The following is a 27,757-nucleotide window of genomic DNA, read 5'->3' on the forward strand; positions in this document are numbered from 1 at the left end:
GCAGAGAACTGTTTTCCCCTAAGGAGTAATAGATACAGTTACTGTGTTATAAGAGCCACATGCTGCAATTGTTTCTGAGGCAATTTTTGTAGTTTAAATTATAAACACCAGAAGTCAAATGTTTATCATCAAAGTCTTAAATTCTAGTATCACAAATCCTAGAATGCCAGCCAGGGAGCACATACCTTTCTAATTGAGTAATAGGCTAAGAGGACCTGTGCGGAGCTGAAGACAGACGCCTCAAATCGCGGGGGCACAGGGAGAGCGGTCAGATGTCCTGCAGGCAGAACCCCAGGGGAACCACTCCCAGGGGTGAAACCGTGCTGACTCGGAGGTAGTGTGCCACTTGGAAGCAGTGGGACCGTCTGGTGGTAGATGCTTCACTTCTTCATTTATGACTCCACATTCGTGGAAGAGAGCAAAGGTCTGTCTGGCTTTCTCATGTTCCCAGTTTTACAAATTTTCTTTTTGCAGAACAACAGAGCAGGAATGTGTTTCGAGGAGCCAACAAATCCAAACCCCTCTGCAGACAAGAAATGAACGACAATTTTATGTCTAAAATGAAAAGAGCTACCAATCATCTTTTAGATTAAAAAAAAAACTTATAGAAGGAACAACAAATGCTGGATGATAGTTATTTTACCTAAACCAAACTGTACCCCAAAATATAACTTTTGTACAAGTATATTAGCTTTCCTTAAGCATTGATAACAGATCATGCAATCTCATAATCTCATTTTTTATGCTAATGGACCCTTATCAATTGCCTGACTGTATATTTATTCTTTAATGATAACAGTTATTCAGAAGGTAAATATTTTGGAAAGAAGTAAAATTTTCTTCTATACCTTCTCTCAATTTTTCCCTTCACTTGAAAACATTTAAGAAACACTTTGATCAAAGAATTTCCAATTGACTAGAAATATAAAATGTTACATTTTTAGAGAAAATATGTTCACTGTAATTATCTAAGTTCTATGTTAGAAAACTATTGAGATTTTCCAATCACGTTGCATTGCTCAGATTTGTGTAAGCTATTTCAAAATACTGTCACATTTATATCAGGACTTCTTTTGTTTTAAGAGGTACTAAGTGTCAGTTCATTTACTCATGGCAGAATTGCAATTGATCTAACCACCAGCCAGAGTGACAGCTCCGAAGGAGGCCGTTTGTGCTTTTAACGTGGCTGGTTGGCTTTACGCTGGCAGCTCTTCAATATGCTTTAGGCACATCTGTTTCATGGCTTTATTTGGAAAATGAAAGGGTTGTGGGAGCCTGGAAGACATTGATGTTGTCACCAAATACGAATTCAATTTCTTGGTCTTTGAAACCGCCTCCCAAGACACAGTCTATGCATTTGATTCCATGTGGAACAGCTTAGGCAATTGACGAGGACTTCCATATTAGATCAGAACTGTTTTTCCAGATGCCACTTAAAAATAACAAACAGAGGCTTGGAGTCTGCTTCCCAGGGGAGGCAACATTTAGAACAATGCTTATCATTAAGAGCTCCAGCTTCTGCTGATGAAAAATGTTAATTTGTTCTCTGCAAAAGGTTACTGGGATATTTTGTACCTGTCAAAAGAGAGGTTAACAGAAAGTGTTGATGTGTTGATGCACAGCCTCCTTTATCCCTCTGCTGAGGCGCTGTGCCTGGCTTCAGGAGAGGGAAGCCAGGGACATGAACAGAGAGAAAGAATTAAAATTTGAGTCTGGAGGAAATGATTTCATTGGGGAAAAAAATAGATGAAAGGAAGTCTGTTTAAAAGGATGAGAATCCAAGGTATGGATTTCCTTTTCAGCATTTTTGCTTGGTTCTGTTTCTAGGCCCTTCTCTAATTCACTCAGCCAAAGTCATCTGCGTCTCCTCCACATTCCCATGACATTAAGTGCTTTTCTGAGGAGAATGATGTCACTGTGCAGTCATGCATTCTGTGATGAGGTTTCGGTCAATGCCGGACTGTACATATGGCAGTGGTCCCATAAGATTATAATGGAACTGAAAAATTCCTACCACCTAGTGACATCGTAGCTGTCGTAGCATTGTAGCGCAATATGTTGCTCATGTGTTTCTCGTGATGCTGGCGTAAAACAACCTGCTATGCTGCCAGTCATAAAAACGCAGTGGTCCCCTACCCCAGGGCCATGGACCAGTACCAGTCCATGGCCTGTTAGGAAGCAGGCCACACAGCAGGAGGCGAGTGGTGGGCAAGGGATCCTTACCACCTGGGCTCCGCCTCCTGTCAGATCAGCAGCAGCTTTTGATTCTCAAAGGAGCGGGAAGCCTGTTGTCAACAGTGAGTGCAAGGGATCTAAATTTTGCACTCCTTATGAGAATCTAACTAATGCCTGATGATCTGAGGTGGAACAGTTTCATCCTGAAACCATTCCCTCCCCTATCCCCCCAGTCCATGGAAAAAGTGTCTTCCACGAAATTGGTCCCTGGTGCCAAAAAGGTTGAGGACCACTGATATAAAAACATAGCACATACAGGTGGGGCACAGTGGCTTACGCCTGTAATCCCGGCACTTTTGGAGGCCAAGGCAGGGGGATCACGAAGTCAAGAGTTCGAGACCAGTCTGGCCAACATAGTGAAACACCGTCTCAACTAAAAATACAAAAAGTTAGCTAGGTTTGGTGGTGGGCGCCTGTAATCTCAGCTACTCAGGAGGCTGAGGCAGGAGAATCACGTGAACCCGGGAGGCGGAGGTTGCAGTGAACCCAGATCGCACCATTGCACTCCAGCCCAGGCGACGGTGGGAGACTCCGTCTCAAAAAAAAAAAAAAAAAAAAAAAAAAAAAAAATATATATATATATATATATATATATATATATATATATCTCACATACGATTATGTATAGTACATAATAATTGATAGAAAATAAACAACTGTATTACTGGTTATGTATTACTATACTTTTTATCATTAGGGCATACACGTTCTACTTACAAAAAAAAAGGTAACTGTGAAACAGCCTCAGGCAGGTCCTTCAGGAGGGATTCCAGGGGAAGGCATTGTTATCACAGGGGATGGAAGCTCCCTGCCTATTGTTTCCCTGAAGACCTCCCAGTGGGACAAATTGTGGAGAAGGAAAACAGTGACATGGATGATCCTGACCTGTGTAGTCCTAGGCTAATGGGTGTGCTTGTGTCTTGCTCTTTTTTTTTTTTTTTTTTTTTTTTGAGATGGAGTCTCGCTCTGTCGCCCAGGCTGGAGTGCAGTGGGGCGATCTCGGCTCACTGCAAACTCTGCCTCCCAGGTTCACGCCATGCTCCTGCCTCAGCCTCCTGAATAGCTGGGACTACAGGTGCCCGCCACCATGCCCGGCTAATATTTTTGTATTTTTTATAGAGACAGATTTCACCGTGTTAGCCAGGATCTCAATCTCCTGACCTCGTGATTCGCCCGCCTCGGACTCCCAAAGTGCTGAGATTACAGATGTGTCTTAGTCTTTAACTAAAAAGTAAACAGTTTTAAAACAGTTTTAAAAACAGATTTAAAAATAAAAAAAATGCTTGAAGGATAAAGATATAAAGAAAAAATATTTTTGTATAGCTGTACAATGTGTTTCTGTTTTAAGTGAAGTGTTATTGCAAGAGTCAAAAAGCTTTAACATTTTTAAAGTTTATAAAGTAACAAAGTTACAGTAAGTTGGGCCGGATGTGATGGCTCATGCCTGTAATCCCAGCACTTTGGGAGGCTGACATGGGTGGATCACCTGCAGTCAGGAGTTCGAGACCAGACTGGTCAACACGGTGAAACCCCGTATCTACTAAAAATACAAAAATTAGTTGGGCGTAGTGGCGGGCGCCTGTAATCCCAGCTACTCGGGAGGCTGAGGCAGGAGAATCACTTGAACCTGGGGGGCAGAGGTTTCAGTGAGTTGAGATTGCACAACTGCACTTCAGCCTGGGCGACAAGAGCGAGACTCCATCTCAAAACAAAACAAACAAACAAACAGAAAAAGTTACAGTAAGTTAAGGTTCATTTACTTTTGAACAATGAAAAACCTTTTTAAAAATAAATTTAGCGTAGCCTATGTGTACAGTGTTTCTGAAGTCTACAGTAGTGTACAGTACTGTCCTAGGCCTTCACATTCACTCACCACTCACTCACAAACTCACCCAGAGCAGTGAGGGAGACCTGTAAGCTCCATTTCTGGTAAATACCCTACTTTTATTTTCTTCTTCTTCTTTTTCTTTTTTTCTGAGACACAGTCTCGCTCTGTCGCTCAGGCTGGAGTGCAGTGGTGCAATTTCGGCTCACCGCAACCTCCGCCTCCCAGGTTCAAGAGATTCTTGTGCCTCAGCCTCCCAAGTAGCTGGGACTATAGGGGCCCACCACCACGCCCGGCTGTTTTGTTTTTTTTGTTTTTGTTTTTTTTGAGACAGAGTCTTGCTCTGTTGCCCAGGCTGGAGTGCAGTGGTGTGATCTCTGCTCACTGCAAGCTCCGCCTCCCGGGTTCACGCCATTCTCCTGCCTCAGCCTCCTGAGTAGCTGGGACTACAGGCGCCCGCCACCACGCCGGGCTAATTTTTTTGTATTTTTGGTAGAGACGGGGTTTCACCGTGTTGGCCAGGATGGTCTCGATCTCCTGACCTCGTGATCTGCCTGCCTCGGGCTCCCAAAGTGCTGGGATTACAGGCGCGAGCCACCGCACCAGGTCAGGTGTACCATTTTTTATCTTTTATACCGTATTTTTACTATACCTTTTCTGTGTTTAGACATGTTTAGACGCACACATGCTTACCATTGTGTTACAACTGCCTACAGTATTTGGTAGGGTCACATGCTGTGCAGGTTTGTAGCCTAAGAGCAAGAGGCCATACCACACAGCCTAGGTGTGTAGTAAGCTCTACCAACTAGGTTTGTGTAAGTGCACACTATGATGTTTACACAACAATGAAATCGCCTAACGACACATTTCTCAGCCTGCATCCCTGTCGTTAAGCAACACATGATTGTGCAAAGGAGATTTGGGTGCATGTCTCTCACCCAAAGTACGGGCCAGTTTCTTTGAAGGTAGGAGCGCTATCTTCATTTTTGTGTCTCCTCTAATGTCTTTCAAGTACAGACCCTTTACAATGTAACTATTCAACAAGTGTTGAGTGAAGTGAAACAGAATGGGATAGAGTGGTAGCAATGCATGAAAGAGACTGGAGACTAAGGATGGAAGGGGGATTGCCGGCAACAATCAAAAGAAACTCACAAAAATAGAGTCAGAGAATCAACAAATTTGTTCTAATCATGCATTGCATCGAATTAGAAAACAGGATGACTCTTCCTTAAGAAAAGTATTTGAATTCCATCATATTTACTCATAAACCACTACTCCCTCATGCAAGATAAGGTTTGTGTGTGGGAAAGGAAGAAAAGGAATATTCCAGTTCTGAACTCCAGGTGCACCACTTGCAGCTTTGATAGTTTCTCACTCCTCAGTCCACATTTCCTGCCATAGAGTATCAAAGAACAGTGGTAGAGATGGGTTGAATCTGAAATTGTTGTGGGCAAAGTCTTCAGTCTGTTTGACTCCCTATTAAATGAGTTCAGATTATTCATCCCTGCAGAGAAAAGGAAAAGCCAATTTCCTTCTGAGCAGCAAAATGAGCACAATAAAAATGTCTCAATGTGTTCTCTGGAAATCTCACCCAGAAAGCCACTTCACACTCTCAAGGTAGAACATGAAACTCCTAGATTGTTCCAGAAGTCTTGCTCAATCGGGAACATCTAAATGGTTCCTTGGCAATAAGCAAACAAACAAATGCATAAATGATGTTGCTTCAGCATTTTAAAATAAGAGTAGCCTAGACATGCTTTCCAAAAAAAGATTAGTCTGTATGTTAGAAATGAGTACTAGATAGCCTGTCTCTTAATCACTGAAAATAATATTCTCTTTCTCACTAACATAATCCAGAATAATCTTCTCATATTGTTATGACACTTTCAGAAAGAAACCACCTGTGTGTATCACCTGGCACAATTTAAAACTTGTTAACAAGGTGGTGACAAGGAATTGGATGCCAGGCAGGAGTGGTAGCTACATGTTCCCACCAAAGTCAGTTTTGATCTCCCTGTGCCTTGCTCACTAGCAGTTTAAGCGTGTGACTTTTCTTCAATGAGCAGCAAGATCACTGTTCTTTGCCAGCAGGTGGTGCAAAAATCTTTTTGCAGAAGTACTATTCACAGAAAAGCATAGGTCACCTCAGTGGGGACTCATGGAACACATGACCATCGCTTCTGGAAGAAGCAATGACTAGGCTCTTTATTTAATATCAATTTATGTTACTTCCAGAATGAACCACCTCTTCCCCATCCCAACCACCCTGCCACAATGGTTCCAACACACTGGGTTGTAAAGACTTGATTCGTGTTAGCCATTTTGACAATCCCAAATGTCCTATTTCGGAGCTCTCACCTCATTCCATCTGCTTCCCCTAGATGCCTGAAGTTGACTACAGCCCTGCAGTAGACCATTAGCCATTCCCCAGAGAGGCCAGCTATCTGTAACTTGACTCCATGAGCCCCACCCTCTTCCTCTCACTCTGTCTGGTAGGATTAAAGTGGGGGCTCTGGGTTTGCTGGCCTAAATCCCATTCTCCACCTTAGTCTCTGCATCCTAGAGATGGGATCCAGTGCAATCAAAAGTGGTCAAAAGCAATTCACTGTTGTTATTATTTAACAACAGAAATATTGGACTGTGAGACATATTGTAGAGAATAAACTAAAAATGTTAGCCACTTTGTAAATAAAAATGATCATAGAAATTCTGAACACTTTAAGATCCACTTGATTATCTCCTATATAATCTCAGTCAAACTTCTTAACTCTTCTGTGCCTCGATTTATGTCTTTATTTACTGGGCATAATCTATTTTTGCCACTTGACAAGAGAGAATGTGGGGAAGTCTAATACACTGTAAGCACCAGAGAAGAAAGAATCAACGATACCCATATTCAATCCTTAGTCTCTGTGCCAGGCAGTGTGCCAAGGACTTTCACAAACTTTGGTAAAACAGCTACAAAGGGGTAGTGCCAGGATTCAAATCCAGGTTTTCTGCCTCCCAATGCTTCTCCCACTTCCTATGCCAATTCATAAACCCTAAATCAATCCCAGGTCACAGGCTCCAGTATTCAGATTCTAGAGAACCCATAGGTTGAAGATGATCTTCAATGCCATGATCCTCCTTTGCTGCAGAGAACACCACTCTCACAGCCTGCTGACCAGGAAAGACCGTCCCCCCTCACCTGCCACCAATACATGCCCACAACTTGCTTTAAAATCACTCTGACTTTACAAATGAAAAAATGATCCTGGAAGGACTGGACATTCTGCTCCCCATCACAGAGACAGCTGACTGTGATCTTCTTCCCTTCAACTTAGAGCACCAGAGGTCTAAGTTCTCAGACTCCAGTAGGAGAACAGACAAATTGTCTCTCACTCGTCACCCTTCTATGATGGTCAAAGATGTCTTTGGGTAAACTGGATAGCCCTTAAGTGATCTCTTTGCCCTGGGACCACTTCCAGGATCTTCCCCTTCAGCTTCAAAGCCTACACTGAGTCTCTGTGGCCACCCCCACAGCTCCCTTCTCTTCTCTGCATCTGCAGTCCAGCCTAGCCCAACCCGCCCTCCGCCTTTCCTCTGTGCTCACCATTGAGGCTGTGCAGGAGCTACACTGGGAACCTGAACAGTCTTCCTGCCCCAGCCCCTCAGGTTCCTAGGCTCTGAGACTAACCCCCACCTTATTTAGTTACGGTTCGAACACTCCTTTGCATTTCTATCATTTACCTTTCACAGAGCAGGGAAGGCAGCTCAATTTCATCCCCAAAAGTTACTTTCTCCAACCTAATTCTCACCAAACACACAATCTATATGCTCTGTTAGTGCAGTTCCTAAATTCACCTACAGGGTGAATATAGATTTTATATGTAATCCCGTAAACTTGTATTAGAGAGCATATTTTATATTGACACACATCATGCAATTGATTCTCATCACATTTGTAGATGACATACCTTAGGAAGTATTTCCTTCGTAATATATTTTAATGTCATATTTAAGAATGTAAATGTTTTACAAAAAGTTTTTAAAAATTAGCTTGGCATGGTGGTATAGATATGTTGTCTTAGCTACTCAAGTGCCTGAGGTGGGAGGATGTCTTGAGCCCAGGAGGAGGCTGCAGTGAGCTATGATTCTGCCAACGCACTCCAGCCTGGGTGACACAACGAGACCCTGTCTCAAAAAAAAAAAAAAAAACCAAGAATATAAATGTTTGATATGATATATATGTTATCCTTTTCCTTACTAATTCTATTGGTGCCTAATTTTTCTACTCAAATTTTGCATTAAGTTTATCAAATGAATGATCCAGGTGATATCAAGACCACATATCATTTTTTCGTATCCACATTATTCAGTAAATGTTGAAGTATAAACCAAATACTATTCACCGAACTTAGCTGCAGGAAGAAAAGAATGAACAAGCAATGCTCTTAGCCTTGGGGGAGTTTATTATCTAGAAAGGGAAACAATTAAGAGCACAGCCAACTGTTCCACTAAAATGCCGAATGAGGTAAGACAGTCTCAGCAGCATAAAGAAAGCTGTCTAGAAATACAGAGGAGGGAGAGATTGTTCTGGCTGACTGTAGGGCTAGAGAACAGAAATAGAATCAGAAAAGAGGACGAGATCTGTGGCATGTGAGGGTGAGGGCATTTACATCAGTCCAAATGGATGAAGAGGAGATTCCAGTCTAGCACAGCATGGCCAGTCAGAGTAGAAGGGAGGCCCCAGCATGTGGGGAAGCTGCAATTAACTTTTTACCAAAACCTACCCCTGGTGAGGCAGAACAGAGAGAAATAATACCAAAAGCCACCCAACTGAAAAGGTAGGTGTGGATTCAAGAGACATTGAAAGTAGATGCTTCAGAATTTGACAAGGGTTGGGTATGAGAAGGAAAGCCAACAGTGCCCCTTCTAAGCACTAAGCACCGTATTTTATGTGTCTGATGCGTTAACGCTAAATCCTCAGGATAAACTCTACAAGAAAAAGAAACCAAGACATAAAAGAAAGAGCTAGCTGAGGGCCAAGTTATTAGAACCTTCAAGGCTCTAACAAACTGAGACGGTGTTTGGAGGCAAAGGGGGGTTGTACTGAGTTTTGAGCAAGAACATGGCCTGCAAACATAGGCTACTCAGCAAGTGGGTGGCCTCCACGGTCAGACTCTCTGGGCCGGGATCCTGGCCCTGTACCCACTGGGTGTGTAGACTTGGACCAGTTCTGGGAGGATAATAACAACCCTGCCAACTTGGAGTAGTGTGAGGATTAAATAAGTGAATACATGTAAAGCATTTAGAGCAAAGGGTCGGCATTTTCAGAGCCAGCTCCAGGCAGGCTGCATGACAGGTGTGCAGAAGGGGAGACACCCTGAAGAGGTCAGGCACTCACAGGACCACTTGCTGAAGCTGTCTGCTGGACAAAACATGCTGATGACCTAAACTTGCAAGATGTGGATTTAAAAGACATTTAGGTCTGTAATCCCAGCACTTTGGGAGGCTGAAGCCGGTGGATCACCTGAGGTCAGGAGTTCAAGACCAGCCTGGCCATCATGGTGAAACCCTGTCTCTACTGAAAATACAAAAATTAGCTGGGTGTAGTTGGTGGTGGGTGTCTGAGGTCCCAGCTACTTGGGAGGCTGAGCCAGGAGAATTGCTTGAACCCAGAAGGTGGAGGCTGCAGTGAGCTGAGATAGCGCCACTGCACTCCAGCCTGGACAACAGAGCGAGACTGAGTCTCAAAAAAAAAAAAAAAAAAAAAAAGACATTTAAAAGAAGAATCTCAGAATTTGACCACTGGTTGAGTATCAGAGAGAAAGATCAAAGATATCTCTCAGGGAGATTACTGGGAGAATAGGGGTGCCAGTAGCCGACAAGAAAGCCCAAGAAAACAACTGGTGTTTGGAGTGGGAATATTGTGGGGGTGGGGGTGGTTAAGAAGATAGAAGATCAGATTTAGGTGTGTTTAATTTTATCGCCAGTGGAATGTCCAAGTAAAGATGTACAGCAGGCAGTGTGAAATGCTTCCTAAAACAGGAGAAACTAAATTCTGTAAGGTTTATCATTATTCCCATGGTGAATTTCTACTCAGTCTTCAAAACACAGCTCAGAGGCTGCCCCTTGTGTGGAGTCAATTGAGTTGTGCCACTATCCCTAGCATTTATCAAATTGCACTGTGTTTGTTTACATATCTGTATCACTGAGCTCCTTAAGGAAAGAAAGGGTGTTTTGTTTTCACCCTTGCATTTATGCTCAGTGATATTTGGTTGAATTGACAAATGGATATAAACATCATTTCCAGAGCATTGTGAATTTAAATCGTGAAGATATATGAGATTTCAAGGGAGAGTGGAGAGAGAGAAGGAAGAGAAGATCAAGGATAGATTTCCCCTTCGGAGGACTCCTGCATTTAAAGGATGGCAGAAAGAGGAAAATGTCATTGCTGGAGGGCACAGACAGATAGAGAATAGTGAGGCCACTAGAGAGTGGAGCCCCTATGTCAGACAAACCAAAGGAGGTTTCCAAAAGGAGAGGGCATTGGTGTCTTGTGCTGCGAGGGCAGAGATGGGAAATACATGCACACCCGTGGGCGGGGGCATGCCTGGGGCCAGCAGGGCGAGATTTCACAGGGGAAGGAAGGATCCTGGCTACATCTGAGGGATCAGCCAGGACTCGGTGCCAAGACAATGTTTGCTCGGTATCCCCAAGCTTCTGAGTTTTCAGAGAAAGCCAGAATGCAGATATGTATGTAATATTAAATCTTAGCAACTAACTCAAGTTTTAAAAAATAAAAATAGTGTGCCCAAGGCTACGTGGGTCTAACAGATCCTACCTGACCTGGAGGGAAGCCAGTTTATAACCTCCAGTGAGGAAGGAGGAGGTTGAGAGAGCAGATATCTGAAATGGTGTTAAGTGCCTAGAGATCTAGCAATGAGTTGGGTGTTGAGGAAACAGAGGTACAACACATAGAAATTAAATTCTCTTGCCAGGTCTTCTTGACTTCCTGGACTATGATGAACGGTCGTCTTGAGAAGACCCCCTACACCAAATGCGCGTATCGGAACCTACTCACTCAGAACAGCATGGGTTAGTTCCACTTACTGGTTTAAGAAAGCTCAACGGGCAGAGGAAAAATAAAAGCTGCTGTCTCCCTAAAAGCCTCACTATAATACCTGTAGGGTATTACATAGCTGTGACTGGATTTAATCAGTTAAGGTCATAATCATTAGCATTCATTAGTGTCTTTTGAAGTCTTAAGGAGGTCCAGGGAGATTCAGATCCTGAAGTGATTTTGTTTTGGCTGTTGCCTGCTGGGAAACCAAGATAAGAGCCTCCAGAGACCGCAAATACAATAGAGGTTCACAGTGGAAGGATTCTTGGCTGAATCTGTTCAGTAAGGTTAGTCTTGCCTTCCAGAGAGCCTTTGACTGGTAAGGATGTCTGAGTGTTATTCCTCCACTGAGCTCTTACTGCGTACCTAGGGCAAGTTGTTCCCCCTTTTAGACTTGGTTTTCTCATGGATAAAATTGATATAATGATAGCAAGGCTAAGACTTTGTGGAGGAGGTTTTATGTATTTATCATAGTGCAACATGAAAGTGAGTGCTTGATTGTGTGTATGTGTCTGGAGAGCATGCATCACAAGTGAAAAAACATCTAAAAACTGAGATACGTTTGTCTTTTCTTTTAGTCCATTATCTCCAAATGACAGACTAGACTGACATCACAGACACACATTCAATGAGCTGTTTGCAATCACAGTCTTCATCTCTTGGAAACATTCGTACTGGTTTCATTTCAAAGGCAGTGCTGTCTAAAGGCTATGAAGTATCTTATTGGAAAGCTCCAGTAAACAGTATCTTATTTCACTGAGAATTTCTGGAAAGTTACTTCAGAATTTTTCAAGATGGTACAGGACAATCCTGCTCTACTCAAAAGAAGCAAAGGGTAATTTAGTAGCTGTGGGGTGAAATTAAATCATGTTGCCAAAACAGTGTGAAGAATCTTGCTGAGGACTTTAATGGTATCATTCTCAATTTCATGAAAGCTAAGTACAACCTAGGGTTTCTGATGCACTCTCTTACCACACAGTTCTTTCATTTAATGTTTAATCTTTACCGCCGCTTTGATGTATGGATTTGTTTATTTTGTAATTATTTTGTTTAAGACACTCTATGATTATTTCACTGTTGTGCCCATTCTTGCAATCCGTGGGGTTTTAAAAAATCTACCTATCGCAGGCAATCTCTAGGGCCATTCTGCCAAAAGAAAATAGTAGGATTAAAATCCCACACACATGCAAGAAGCAGCTAGGAATATAGTGGAGTCAATTTAAATATATACTAAACACAGGACAAATGCATCAAGTAGAATGCAGACGTGATTCCATTCCAATTCCAGGCTTCTGCGTTTTAAGCACCTCTTCCCTCCAGCCTGTGCTGCTGGTGGCAAAGAGCTGGTCTTGGGTGGCCCGGGAGACACCTGTCTCCTTTTGGATAATTCTACCCCAGAGCAAGGACCTGGATGAGACCGGTAGACAGAAACACTGCTTTGGCCCACCACATAGAAAGACATATTCTTGCAGGCTTAAAAAAAAACTGACTTGACATATTTCCTCAGAGCAAAACTCTTCTGCCCTTACAACACTATTTCTCACCCACGTGCACCAGTTCCTTGGTTCCAAAGCAAGAGAGTGCTCAGGGTTCCTGTGAGGGGTGGGTATTGGGTGTGAAGGCATACAGGGAGGCTGGCAAAGGCAGTTCCTGAAACTGATGGTCCTTGGAAACTATATACGTTTCTCATGTTGCCATTTTCACATTAAAATCCTAAAAGTAGAAAGAAATTCACTCAGGTTTCTTATAATTATGAGTTTTCATAATCAAAATTATGATATAAGTTAACTTAGTGTGTAGGTACTTTTAAAATAAAAGGAAAAGTGACCTGTATGTTATCATTATGTTGTTATTATGAAACAGAGTTTGTATAGTTCTTAGAAGAATGCAAAACACTTTCCTACACTTGAACTCATTCAAGTCTACCAATGAGATAGCAAATACAAGGATGATAATGATGGTGAGGACAATGCTTATCTTAGAAAAAGATACTGAGATCCAGAGAAGTTCACAATTGGTAAATGTCAGAGTCATAACTGTTGTGACTTTTAAGACCATTCTTCCCCACTTCACACCATTGCCTTATACCAACACTTTATAGAATAATTCCTATTGTGGAGTTCTGTGGGCAGGCTAAGCTTCTTGTCTACTTAAATAGTAACAGTAAAGCTGAATCAGTTGCACTGGAAGCCTGGATGTAATAGGATCCTTTAACATGTCAATGGCGTTCAGTATACCTGAAGTACCAGAAATAAAGGACTTGTTATAATACCGCGCTGCCAGATAACAACCTGACAACACCAGTTCTGGGGATAGAGTTAGTGAAACCACTGCAGTTTTCTCTGGCTACAGCAGCTGAGTTCTCTACAAGCCTTCTTGCCCCAGTATTTAGCATTGCAGCCAGCAAGAATCAGTGCACAGTGAAATTTTTAATTGAACGCTTACAGAAACATGTCATTTACTCTTCCTAAACATGATTAATGTTGATTCATTTAAAATATTGATCAATATACATCATTGAACACACAAATATGCCTCTCCTGTTAATAAACAAAATGTGCACAAACTGAGTATATTCGCCCTCTTTCTACTGATTTACCTTCCTGCTCCAGACAGAAATCCTCTCTAATAAGCTGCGCACATCATTTTGAAGCTCTGATGTGTACCTGAAATCTCTCATAACTGTCTATTTTCCCTCTCATTTCGTTGCCTTAGTTCAATCACCTCACAATATTTTTAATTTGATTCTTTACTAAGCTGCTTCTAGATAAGCAAACTGCCCCAATTCACTCACAGTAAAGCAAAAACTAGCAAATGGAGTTACTGGATTAGTGTAGACTAATCAAATGCTCATGGTTTCAATGAATGTTTAGTGAGTTTCTGAAAGCACATGGCTACACAGTTACCTAATTATAATGCTGTTGTTTTTAGTGGTACTAAGAACAACAGTCCTTCTATAAATCATTATTTCCCTTTTCAAACAGTTTTGATTCATTATTGCATTATTTTCTATCCATTAAATATGTTTAATATCAAATATATTATTTCACGAACTTCATCTGAAGTACGGGGAGTTTAGAGTGCAGGATTTCACACAATCCTTCCAAATTTGAGGACTGGGGCCCAGAGATAAGGGAAGGTACTTATGATTGGATAGAAAAAAACAAAATCAAAGGGATTACTTAATAATTATTTCCAAAGCCTGTAAAGCTTGACCTTATCCTTAGTGGCAATACTTTAAGAGAGAGAGGATACATTGATTTAAATCAATGGTTCTCACAGCTGAGGATGCTTTTCCCCCAGGGGATGTCTGCAATGTCTGGAGACATTTTTTATTGTTATGACTGGAGTTTGGGAACAGCTGTTACTTTTGCCTAGTGGGTCCAGGCCACAGGTGTTGCCAGACATCCTACAGTGCACAGGACATTCCCCCCACAATGAAGAATTATTGTCCCAAAATGTCAGGAGTGCGAGATTGGCAAGCCCTGGTCCAGACTGGACCTGAAGGTTAGTTTCCTGACACCACATATCAGACTCTAAATTACACAGCTAGGGGAATTTATCCAGTTTTTTGAAATAGGAAAAAAAAAAACAAAGGGACAGAAGATGATGATTTCCATTTTTTCATCACCAGCAGCTGATGCTGTGAAACGATTACAAGCTATCAGGGACATTTTAAATTCATGATTGCACCTACATGAACCTCTTCATAGGTTGCTCTTCCCTTTGACAAGAGTTTAGGACAAGGAGGCTTGTAGAGGGTGTACTGAAGACCCACCCAACATTAGACATTCTGATCTGGATTTGTTTTTCCTCTTCATTTCCTGAACTGACTTGGCTATGGATTAATGTTATCTTTACTCTAGCTTTAAGGCCTTAAAGTGCTGATAGCCACATATAGTATATTGCATGTCATTTCCATTAGGAACCGCAGCCATCGTTAGATCTGAGATGAGTTCTACGTGCCCACTGTGCCTTAGATTTTAGACTCCATAATAATGAAATTTAACTTGGAAATGTTTCCTGTTGTATTTATATAACACTTTTTGACCTGCCCAACCCAGCAGGAAGCAAGGACAGAAAACCATAAATAGATTTTAAAAGCATTCAAATGCAGTGCAAACAATAATCCACATTCAAGGTTCAACCTTGAAATTCCAGAAAAATTGGAGGGCTTTGTAAGGTTCACCAACCATTTGGTTCCCATCTACCTTTTTTTAGTATCTAACTTAACTGTTTTGAAAGACAATTATCACAATGACTGTTTTTTTAAATAACCAAGATTTGCCAATATAGTTTATTTCACTAACTGTCAAATGTTTTCTGCCTTTGGGAGTAGTATCTTTAAAAAGATATTAGATGGCTGGGCATGGTCACTCACACCTGTAAACCCAGCACTCTGGGAGGCCGAGGTGGGTGGATCACCTGAGGTCAGGAGTTCGAGACCAGCCTGACCAACATGGTGAAACCCCGCCTCTACTAAAAAATACAAAAATTAACCAGGCATGGTGGCAGGCACCTGTAATCCCAGCTACTGGGGAGGCTGAGGTAGGAGAATTGCTTGAACATGGGAGGCAGAAGTTGCAGTGAGCCGAGATCGTGCCATTGCAGTCCAGCCTGGGCAACTGAGCAAGACTCTGTCTCAAACAAAAAAAGGAAAGAAAAAAAACATATTAGATGGCAATAAGTCTGTCAGGGTCCTATCTTAGGTGGACAAGATTTCTCTGATGGAACTAATTATATATGACACTGTATGGTGTGGTGTTTAAAATCCGGAAACCAGAGTTGGAATGCCCGGGTTTAAATCCAGCCTTCCCACTTCATTTGTGTGAGTGTGTATGGGGAGTATGTTTCCAACTTAATCCTCCACGTCTGTTTCCTTGTGTGTAAAATGCTGATAATAACAGTATCCCCCTCATAGGTATTTTTCAGAATTACGTTAGTTAAACCAGTGATTCTCAACATGGTCCCCAAACCAGAAGTAACAGCATCATCCCAGGCCCTATTAGAAATGCATATTCTCTGGCTCCATCCAGACCCACTAAATCAGAAGTCCTTCAGGTAGTTCTGATACAAATAACCTGTGAGTTAAACCATGTAAACCATGGATCACTGCCTGGTACATAATGAGCATTCAATAAACATTCACTTCCATCCTGGCTAAAACGGTGAAACCCCATCTCTACTAAAAATACAAAAAATTAGCCAGGCATGGTGGTGGGTGCCTGTGGTCCCAGCTACTTGGGAGGCTGAGGCAGGAGAATGGCATGAACCCAGGAGGTGGAGCTTGCAGTGAGCAGAGATCGTGCCACTGCACTCCGACCTGGGTGACAGAGCAAGACTCTGTCTCAAAAAAAAAAAAAAAAAAAAAAAAGAAAAGAAAAAACAAAAAACATTCACTGTTATTATCAAATCTCTGTGGGCTTCTCTTTTACAATATATTTATATTCCTGTCTCTCATTTTTTTTTTTTTAGAACAAACCTATTTCTGAAATGTTTCTGGCTTCCATATGCCTCTGGCTTTTAGGAAAGCACAAGTGGCCTGCTTGGGGTCCCTCCTGGCTTGCTGGACTTCCCGTCACTTTTTGCCTGTCGTCTTCCATGGTTCCTGCATGGATCTTGTTGCCTCAGGACCAAGCTGCCTTTGCTTTTCCACAATGTCCATGACTATGTGGGGAAGGAAATGGACCCTCATGCTGACAGCGCATGTCCACGTTACTAGTTTCCTTTAGAAAACCATCTCCAATGGGCCAGGCACGGTGGCTCATGACTGTAATCCCAGCACTTTGGGAGGCCAAGGCTGGCAGATCACAAGGTCATGAAATCGAGACCAGCCTGACCAACATGGTGAAACCCCATCTCTACTAATAATACAAGAATTAGCTGGGCATGGTGGCACGCACCTGTAATCCCAGCTACTCAGGAGGCTGAGGCAGGAGAATTGCTTGAACCCGGGAGGTGGAGGTTGCAGTGAGCCGAGATTGCGCCACTGCACTCCAGCCTGGTTAGGGAGCGAGACTGGTCTCAGAAAAAAAAAAAAAAAAGAAAGAAAACCATCTCCAACCTTAACTCCAGGGGCGCCATTCATACCCTGTTCTATAGAACCTGCCCAAGGTGTGCTCCTGAAGAAAGGGAAGGTGCTGACCTAATGGCTCCGAGAACAGTATTTTTGATAAAGTGCAGTCTCTCAGCAAGTGTCCTCAAAGTGCTGGCCTTGCTCATGCAGTAGAGCTGGGAAAGCTTATTTGGGACTTGGGTACCACATAAGAAATAAAGAGGGAATGTCATACTAGCAGGACTTTTGACAAAAAAAGCCTGGTATGAGAGGCCCTGACACTAATATGATTCCTATTCTCACTCAAGTTAATAGATCATTTAACCAATAGCAAAAAGAACCGGAAGTGTCCTCCCAAAGAGTACACTATGGAAAGGGTGGGGGGATGGAGTACCTTTACAGTGGAGAAAAGTACCCTTACACCACCTCTGCAGGGGATCTAGGTCAACATCAGCAGTTACAAGTTACATTGACAGCATGTGGCCTTGATATGATGTGATGAGAATGGCTCTTCACCCCTGTGGTCTTCCTCCACAAAACCCATAGCCCCAGTTAAATCATGAAAAAAGCATCAGACAGACCCCAATTGTGACCAGCACTCCTCAAAATTATCAGGGTCCTCAAAAAAAGGAAAGTCTGAGAAACTGTCACAGTCAAGAGGAGCCTCAGGAGACAATGAAAACTAAGTGTCATGTGGAAGTTTGAACAGAATCCTGGAACAGAAAATGGACATCAGGTAAAAACTAAGAAAATCTAGATAGTGTGGACTTCAGTGAATAACAATGTGTTGATATTGATTCATTAATTGTGACAAATCCACTACGCTAATTGCCTTAGTCTGTTCAGGCTGCAATAACAAAATACCATGGACTGAGTGGCTTATACACAACAGAAATTTATTTCTCACAGTTCTGGATGCTGGGAAGTCTAAGACCAAGGCACTGCCAGATTTGGTGTCTGGTGAAGGTCCATCTCCTGGTCCAAACATGGCTCCTTCTCACTGTGTCTTCCCATGGTGGAAGGGACAAGAATTTCTAATTCCACTCATGAGTGCTCTGATCCCAAGACCTAATCACCTACCAAAGCCCCCACCTTCTGATAGCATTACCTTGGGGCTTAGGATTTGAACATATGAACTGGGGAGGACTCTGGGGAAACACATTTAAACCACAGCACTAATGTAGGATGTTAATAATAAAGGAAACTGGGTGTGGGGTTTATGGAAACTCTCTTAACTTGGTATGAGGTATATGCAAACTCTCTTTAATATCTTCAGAATTTTCCTGTAAACTTTAACTTTAATCTGAACTTCTAAAAATTATAGTTATACACGCATACACAGAGAGAGAGAGAGAGAGAGCGAGAGAGAGAGAGAGAGAGAGAGAGAAGTTATACATAGCCTTCGTGTTGCAGGTCTAGCCTACACTTCTAGCCTTATTCCCCCTGTTTAAACCTTATAAGTCAGCCAATATAATGAAATTTCCTTAAGGTCAAGATGCTACTATGTTTATTCTCCAAAAAATTTGAAAAATAAATGAGTTTTCTTAATTTCTTAGAAGACTCAATAAAGTTGAGATCATAAAGTGTAAGTTAAGGAAGAATTCTACCTGAAGAGACTCATGAAACAAAAATGATGGTGAGGAAAGGGAGTGCTGTTTCATTGACTAGAAAAGAATTAGCAAATTAATCAGCACATTGCCTTTTAAATGTTCCACTTCAAGAGATGCACACATTTTCAGGCCCAATGGTATCGTCACTTCCAATAAAGCTTTATTGGTGGTATCTGGAGAACGCTATCCTATTATATCCTTGGCTAAGCTCACATATGAGAGACTCTTTAAAGGAACAATGCAATAGTCTTGATATTCATTGCAGACACTGGTTCTTGCCTACTCAATAATTATTCCCTCACCTTCCTGACAAAGAACCCGACTTGTTCAGGTATCTCACAATGTGCTCAGGAAAGGTGGGCTCTTCCCCAGGTCCATGTGGTTAACCAGAACTGCTCTAAAACATCGTGAGAATCCCATTCACCTTTGCCAGTGATTGGTTTAAGGGTAGGGAGATTACCCAATTCTGAACAATGATATAGGAGAAGAAAGAAATTTACTAGGGGATTGATGGGAACAGGTTATTTTGTTCACTATACAGGGACACATAGTGAGAGGTGACAATGTGCTAGCAGCCCTCACTCACTCTCAGCACCTCCTCAAGTGTGGGCGTGTGGCGTGGGACTGGCAGGCAGCTCTGCCCATGGCCCCGATGTGGGATCCACTAGGCGAAGCCAGCTGGGCTCCTGAGTCAGGTGGGGACTTGGAGAACTTTTATGTCTAGCTAAAGGTTTGTAAATGCACCAATTAGCACTTTGTGTCTAGCTCAAGGTTTGTAAATGCACCAATCAGCACCCTGTGTCTAGCTCAAGGTTTGTAAATGCACCAATCAGTGCTCTGTGTCTAGCTAATCTAGTGGGGACTTGGAGAACTTTTACATCTAGCTAGAGGATTGTAAATACACCAATCAGCACTCTGTGTCTAGTTCAGGGATTGTAAATGCACCAATCAGCACCCTGTCAAAACAGACCAATCAGCTCTCTGTAAAACGGACCAATCAGTTCTCTGTAAAATGGGCCAATCAGCAGGATGTGGGTGGGGTCAGATAAAGGAATAAAAGCAGGCTGCCCAAGCCAGCAGTGGCAACCCGCTGGGGTGCCCTTCCACACTGTAGAAGCTCTGTTCTTTCGCTCTTTGCAATAAATCTTGCTGCTGCTAACTCTTTGGGTCCACACTGCCTTTATGAGCTGTAACACTCACCGCGAAGGTCTGCAACTTCACTCCTGAAGCCAGCGAGACCACGAACCCACCAGAAGGAAGAAACTCAGAACACATCTGAACATCAGAAGGAACAAGCGCTGGACCCACCACCTTTAAGAACTGTAACACTCCCCACGAGAGTCCACAGCTTCATTCTTGAAGTCAGTGAGACCAAGAACCCACCAATTCCGGACGCTTTTTGGCGACCCAGATGGGACTATCGCCTATCACCAAGTCGTGAGACCATTGCCTATCACTGAGTGGTGAGACTGTCACCTATCGCCAAGCAGTGAGTACCATCAGACCCCTTTTGCTTGCTATTCTGTCGTATTTTTCCTTAGAATTTGGGGGCTAAATACCGGGCACCTGTCGGCCAGTTAAAAGCGACTAGCATGGCCGCTGGACTAAAGAAACGGGTGTCAAGCTTTCTGGTAAAGGGCTTTCTAACAACCCCCGACTCTTCGGAATTGGGAGCGTTGGTTTGCCTGGAACCAGCTTCCGCTTTTCCTGTACTTCTGGGCTGAGTCGAGGGTCAACAGAGAGGAAAGCCTTGCAGCTCCGGGGTCCCAACAACAAGTTGGTTGATCCTGTGGCCATGAGTGGAACTCTCAAAGGCATGTCGCCCAAGCGAGACTCGCCCATCTATCCTATCTATCCTGACCCTTGCCCCCTGGGTCCTAATGCCTGCCAGACAAACTTCCTCTCACCTCTCTTCTCCGAGGCTAGTCCCACTTCTAAAAATTGCTCCCTGTCTCTGGTGGTTTTCTAGTTTCCCCTATAAGAATGATTTCTAGTATAAACTCCAGGACTCTGTTATGTTCTTTAGGCACCCAGGCTGACCAATCAGAAAGACATAATTTTTGCCCAAAGCCCTGTCGTATGGGGGACTACCTGGAATTTTAGGATCCCTCCTCAGACTAGCAAGCCTAACAAAAGCTATTCCTGAAGCTAGGATATGGGGAGCCACAGAAATTTTATCCTTCCTATTCATATAAGTGAGGATAAAAGGTGTCACTCTTCCAACCCTGGAGATCCCTTCCCTCCCTCAGGGTATGGCCCTCCACTTCATTTTTGGGGCATGACATCTTTATAGGACATGGGTAAGGTCCCATTACTAACAGGGGAATGCTTAGGACTCTAACAGGTTTTCGAGAATGTGTCGGTAAGGGCCACTAAATCCGATTTTTCTCGGTCCCCCTTGTGGTCCAGGAGGACAGGCAAGGGTTTAGGTTTTTGAGAATGCATCAGTAAGGGCCACTAAATCCGACCTTCCTTGGTCCTTCATGTGGTCTGGGAGGAAAACTAGTGTTTCTGCTGCTGCGTCGGTGAGCGCAACTATTCCGATTAGCAGGGTCCAGGGACCTTTGCGGGTTCTTGGGTAAGGGTTGTTTCTGCTGCTGTGTCCGTGAGCACAACTATTCTGATCAGCAGGGTCCAGGGACCGTTGCGGGTTCTTGGGCAGGGGGAGAAACAAAACAAACCAAAACCGCAGGCAGTTTTGTCTTTCAGATGGGAAACACTCAGGCATCAACAGGCTCACCCTTGAAATGCATCCTAAGCCATTGGGATCAATTTGACCCACAAACCCTGAAGCTCATTTTTTTCTGCACTATGGCTTGGCCCCAATATACCCTCTCTGATGGGGAAAAATGACCACCTGAGGGAAGTACAAATTACAATACTATCCTGAAGCTTGATCTTTTCTGTAAGAGGGAAGGCAAATGGAGTGAAATACCTTATGTCCAAGCTTTCTTTTCATTGAGGGAGAATACACAACTATGCAAAGCTTGCAAGTTACATCCCACAGGAGGACCTCTCAGCTTACCCCCATATCCTAGCCTCCCTATAGCTCCCCTTCCTATTAATGATAATCCTCTTCTAATCTCCCCTGCCCAGAAGGAAATAAGCAAAGAAATATCCAAAGCACCACAAACCCCCCCCCGGGCTATCGGTTATGTCCCCTTCAAGCTGTAGGGGGAGGGGAATTTGGCCCAACCCAGGTACATGTCCCCTTCTCCCTCTCTGACTTAAAGCAGATCAAGGCAGACCTGGCAAAGTTTTCAGATGATCCTGATAGGTACCTAGATGTCCTACAGGGTCTAGGGCAAACCTTCGACCTCGCTTGGAGAGATGTCATGCTACTGTTAGATCAAACCCTGGCCTTAATGAAAAGAATGAAGCTTTAGCTGCAGCCTGAGAGTTTGGAGATACGTGGTATCTTAGTCAAGTAAATGATAGAATGACAACCAAAGAAAGGGATAAATTCCCTACCGGTCAGCAAGCCATCCCCAGTATGGATCCCCACTGGGACCTTGACTCAGATCATGAGGACTGGAGTTGTAAACATCTTTTGACCTGTGTTCTAGAAGGACTAAGGAGAATTATTAAAAAGCCCATGAATTATTCAATGATGTCCACCATAACTCAGGGAAAGGAAGAAAATCCTTCTGCCTTCCTCGAGTGACTATGGGAGGCCTTAAGAAAATATACTCCCCTGTCACCTGAATCACTCGAGGGTCAATTGATTCTAAAAGATAAGTTTATTACCCAATCAGCCACAGATATCAGGAGAAAGTTCCAAAAGCAAGCCCTGGGCCCTGAAAAAAATTTGGAGGCATTATTAAACCTGGTAACCTTGGTGTTGTATAATAGGGACCAAGAGGAACAGGCCCAAAAGGAAAAGCGAGATCAGAGAAAGGCTGCAGCCTTAATCATGGCCCTCAGACAAACAAACCTTGGTGGCTCAGAGAGGACAGAAAATGGAGCAGGCCAATCACCACCCAGTAGGGCTTATTATCAGTGTGGTTTATTAGGACACTTTAAAAAAAGATTGTCCAATGAGACACAAGCTGTCCCCTCATCCATGTCCACTATGCCGAGGCAATCACTGGAAGGTACACTGCCCCAGAGGACAAATGTTCTCTGGGTCAGAAGCCCCCAACCAGATGATCCGACAACAGGACTGAGGGTGCCCGGGGCAAGCGCCAGCTCATGTCATCACCCTCACTGAACCCCAGGTATGCTTAACCATTGAGGGCCAGGAAATTGACTTCCTCCTGGACACTGGTGTGGCCTTCTCAGTGTTAATCTCCTGTTCTGGACGACTGTCCTCAAGGTCCGTTACCATCCGAGGAATCCTGGGACAGCCTGTAACCAGGGATTTCTTCCACCTCCTCAGTTGTAATTGGGAGACTTTGCTCTTTTCACATGCCTTTCTTGTTATGCCTGAAAGTCCCACACCCTTATTAGGGAGAGATATATTAGCCAAGGCTGGAGCTATTATCTACATGAATATGGGGAAGAAGTTACCCATTTGTTGTCCTCTACTTGAGGAGGGAATCAACCCTGACGTCTGGGCATTGGAAGGACAATTTGGAAGGGCAAAAAAATGCCTGCCCAGTCCAAATCAGGTTAAAAGATCCCGCCACTTTTCCTTATCAAAGGCAATATCCCTTAAGGCCTGAAGCTCATAAAGGTTTACATGATATTGTTAAACATTTAAAAGCTCAAGCTTAGTAAGGAAATGCAGCAGTCTTTGCAACACCCCAATTCTAGGAGTACAAAAGCCGAATGGTCAGTGGAGATTAGTGCAAGATCTTAGACTCATCAATGAGGCAGTAATTCCTCTATATCCAGTTGTACCCAACCCCTATACCCTGCTCTCTCAAATACCAGAAGAAGCAGGATGGTTCACAGTTCTGGACCTTAAGGATGCTGCCTTCTGTCTTCCCCTGCACTCTGACTCCCAGTTTCTCTTTGCCTTTGAGGATCCCACAGACCACACATCACAACTTACTTGGATGATCTTGCCCCAAGGGTTTAGGGATAGCCCTCATCTGTTTGGTGAGGCACGGCCCAAGATCTAGGCCACTTCTAAAGTCCAGGCACTCTGGTCCTTCAGTATGTGGATGATTTACTTTTGGCTACCATTTCAGAAGCCTCATGCCAGCAGGCTACTTTAGATCTCTTGAACTTTCTAGCTAATCAAGGATAGAGGGGTCTAGGTCGAAGACCCAGCTTTGCCTACAGCAGGTCAAATATCTAGACCTAATCTTAGCCAGAGGGACCAGGGCCCTCAGCAAGGAATGAATACAGCCTATACTGGCTTATCCTTGCCCTAAGACATTAAAACAGTTGCGGGGGTTCCTTGGAATTACTGGCTTTTGCTGACCATGGATCCCCAGATACAGCGAGATAGCCAGGCCCCTCTATACTCTAATCAAGGAAACCCAGAGGGCAAATATTCATCTAGTAGAATGGGAACCAGAGGCAGAAACAGCCTTCAAAACCTTAAAGCAGGCCCTCGCACAAGCTCCAGTTTTAAGCCTTCTGACAGGACAAAACTTCTCTTTATACGTCACAGAGAGAGCAGGGATAGCTCTTGGAGTCCTTACTCAGACTCGTGGGACAACCACACAACCAGTGGCAGGTATACATAAGTAAGGAAATTGATGTAGTATCAAAAGGCTGGCCTCACTGTGGTGGTGGCCATCTTAGTGTCAGAGGCTATCAAGATACTACAAGGAAAAGATCTCACTGTCTGGACTACTCATGATGTAAATGGCACACTAGGTGCCAAAGGAAGTTTATGGCTATCAGACAACCACCTACTTAGATACCAGGCACTACTTCTTGAGAGACTGGTGCTTCAAATATGCATGTGCGTGGCCCTCAACCCTGCCACTTTTCTCCCAGAGGATGGGGAACCAATTGAGCATGGCTGCCAACAAATTATAGTCCAGACTTATGCCACCCGAGATGGTCTCTTAGAAGTCCCCTTAGCTAATCCTGACCTTAACCTATATACCAATGGAAGTTCATTTGTGAAGAATGGGATACGAAGGGCAGGTTACACCATAGTTAGTGATGTAACTGTACTTGAAAGTAAGCCTCTTCCCCCAGGGACAAGTGCCCAGTTAGCAGAACTAGTGGCACTTACCCGAGCCTTAGTACTGGGAAAGGGAAAAAGAATAAATGTGTATACAGATAGCAAGTATGCTTATGTAATCCTACATGCCCATGCTGCAATATGGAAAGAAAGGGAGTTCCCAACCTCGGGGAACCCCCATTAAATGCCACAAGGAAATCATGGAGTTACTGTACATAGTGCAAAAACCGAAGAAGGTGGCAGTCTTACACTGCCAAAGCCATCAAAAGGGGAAGGAGAAGGGAGAACAGCAGCATAAGCATATGGCAGAGGCAGAAGAAATGAAAGACAGAAAGAGACAAGAAGTCAGAGAGGAAGAGATAGAGAGACAAAGAGAGAAAGAGAAAGACAGGAAGTCAAAGAGAAGGAGACAGAGAGAGGAAGAGACAGACAGAGGCAGTCAGAAAGAGAGAGACGAAGAAGTCAAAGACAGAGATAGAAGTAGTAAAGAAAAAACAGTGTATCCTATTCCTTTAAAAGCCAGGGTAAAGTTCTGTCTACCCAGCCAAGGTATATTCTTCCTATGTGGAATGTGGACCTACATCTGCCTCCCCACTAACTGGATAGGCACCTGCACCTTAGTCTTTCTAAGTCCCAACATTAACATTGCCCCAGGAAATCAGAGCCTATCAGTACCCCTCAAAACTCAAGTCTGTCAGTGCAGAGCCATACAACTGATACCACTACTTACAGGGTTAGGAATAGTTACTGCTACAGGAACCGGAATAGCCAGTTTATCTACTTCATTATCCTACTACCAGACACTCTCAAAGGATTTTTCAGACAGTTTGCAAGAAATAACGAAATCTATCCTTACTCTACAATCCCAAATAGACTCTTTGACAGCAGTGACTCTCCAAAACCACCGAGGCCTAGACCTCCTCACTGCTGAGAAAGGAGGACTCTGCACCTTCTTAGGGGAAGACTGTTGTTTTTACACTAACCAGTCATGGATAGTGTGAGATGCCACCCGGTGTTTACAGGAAAAGGCTTCTGAAATCAGGCAACGTCTTTCAAACTCTTATACCAACCTCTGGAGTTGGGCCACATGGCTTCTCCCTCCCCTTTCTAGGTCCTGTGGCAGCCATCTTGCTGTTACTTGCCTTTGGGCCCTGTATTTTTAACCTTCTTGTCAAATTTGTTTCCTCTAGAATCGAGGCCATCAAGCTACAGATGGTCTTACAAATGGAACCCCAAATGAGTTCAACTAACAACTTCTACCGAGGACACCTGGACTGACCTGCTGGCCCTTCCACTGGCCTAAAGAGTTCCCCTCTGGAGGACACTACAACTGCAGGGCCCCTTCATCACCCCTATCCAGCAGGAAGTAGCTAGAGCAGTCATCGGCCAAATTCCCAACAGCAGTTGGAGTGTCCAGTTTAGAGGGGGGATTGAGAGGTGACAATGTGCTAGCAGCCCTCGCTCACTCTCAGTGCCTCCTCAGCCTCGGCGTCCACTCTGGCCATGCTCAAGGAGCCCTTCAGCCCACCACTGCACTGTGGGGGCCCCTCTTTGGGCTGGCTGAGGCCAGAGCCGGCTCCCTCTGTTTGTGGGGAGGTGTGGAGGGAGAGGCATGGGCAGGAACTGGGGCCAGCACGAGTTCCGGGTGGGCGTGGGCTCAGCTGTGGAGGGTGCACCGGGTCCCCCAGCACTGTTGGCCCACCTGTGCCATGCTCAAATTCTTGCCGGGCCTCAGCCGCCTCCCTGCGGGGCAGGGCTTGGGACCTGCAGCCCGCCATGCCCTAACCCCCCCTGCTCCACGGAGCCTGGTCCCATCGACTACACAATGGCAAAGGAGTGTGGGCACGCAGCATGGGATGGTCGGGCAACTCCTCACGTGGCCCTGGAGCGGGATCCACTAGGCGAAGCCAGCTGGGCTCCTGAGTCAGGTGGGGACTTGGAGAACTTTTATGTCTAACTAAAGGTTTGTAAATGTGCCAATCAGCACTTTGTGGCTAGCTCAAGGTTTGTAAATGCACCAGTCAGCACACTGTGGCTAGCTCAAGGTTTGTAAATGCACCAATCAGTGCTCTGTGTCTAGCTAATCTAGTAGGGACTTGGAGAACTTTTATGTCTAGCTAGAGGATTGTAAATACACCAATCAGCACTCTGTATCTAGCTCAAGGTTTGTAAACGCACCAATCAGCACCCTGTGTCTAGCTCAAGGTTTGTAGACGCACCAATCAGCACTCTGTGTCTAGCTTAAGGTTTGTAAATACACCAATCAGTGCTCTGTGCCTTGCTAATCTAGTGGGGACTTGGAGAACTTTTACGTCTAGCTAGAGGATTGTAAATACACCAATCAGCACTCTGTGTCTAGCTCAGGGATAGTAAATTCACCAATCAGCATGCTGCCAAAGCAGACCAATCAGCTCTCTGTAAAATGGGCCAATCAGCAGGAAGTGGGTGGGGTCAGATAAGGGAATGAAAGCAGGCTGCTGGAGCCAGCAGTGGCAACCCATTGGGGTCCCCTTCCACGCTGTGGAAGCTTTGTTCTTTTGCTCTTTGCAATAAATCTTGATGCTGCTCACTCTTTGGTTCCACATTGCCTTTATGAGCTGTAACACTCACTGCAAAGGTCTGCAGCTTCACTCCTGAGGCCAGCGAGACCATGAACCCACCGGGAGGAATGAACAACTCCAGACGCGCCACCTCAAGAGCTGTAACACTCACCACGAAGGTCTGCAGCTTCACTCCTGAAGCCAGCGAGACCACGAACCCACCAGAAGGAAGAAACTCCGAACAAGTCCGAACATCAGAAGGAACAAACTCTGGACCCACCACCTTTAAGAACTGTAAT

General features: G+C 44.0%; 1 long non-coding RNA gene across 2 annotated transcripts, besides 2 other annotated features; it reads left to right on the forward strand.

The window, feature by feature from the left end:
• The first annotated feature begins 223 nt into the window (after nt 1-223).
• LOC124903135 (uncharacterized) lies at nt 224-27,487 on the forward strand. Of its 2 annotated transcripts, XR_007063720.1 has the most exons (3): nt 224-424; nt 16,641-20,319; nt 26,109-27,487. It is a non-coding gene; the product is annotated as an uncharacterized LOC124903135 (long non-coding RNA). The 2 variants fall into 2 exon arrangements; XR_007063721.1 differs by lacking the exons at nt 16,641-20,319; nt 26,109-27,487 and adding an exon at nt 11,044-11,211.
• Nucleotides 2,806-3,333: an enhancer, noted in NCBI's record as "NANOG hESC enhancer chr13:24081975-24082502 (GRCh37/hg19 assembly coordinates)". NCBI's record gives its function as "activates a minimal SCP1, AML or CMV promoter by ChIP-STARR-seq in primed H9 embryonic stem cells {active_cell/tissue: H9 hESC(primed)}" and the evidence as "EXISTENCE:reporter gene assay evidence [ECO:0000049][PMID:30033119]".
• Nucleotides 21,286-21,881: an enhancer, noted in NCBI's record as "OCT4-NANOG hESC enhancer chr13:24100455-24101050 (GRCh37/hg19 assembly coordinates)". NCBI's record gives its function as "activates a minimal SCP1, AML or CMV promoter by ChIP-STARR-seq in naive H9 embryonic stem cells {active_cell/tissue: H9 hESC(naive)}" and the evidence as "EXISTENCE:reporter gene assay evidence [ECO:0000049][PMID:30033119]".
• Nucleotides 27,488-27,757: the final 270 nt, after the last annotated feature.

The sequence above is a fragment of the Homo sapiens genome, chromosome 13 (assembly GCF_000001405.40).
Source record: "Homo sapiens chromosome 13, GRCh38.p14 Primary Assembly".
NCBI classification, from domain to species: domain Eukaryota; kingdom Metazoa; phylum Chordata; class Mammalia; order Primates; family Hominidae; genus Homo; species Homo sapiens.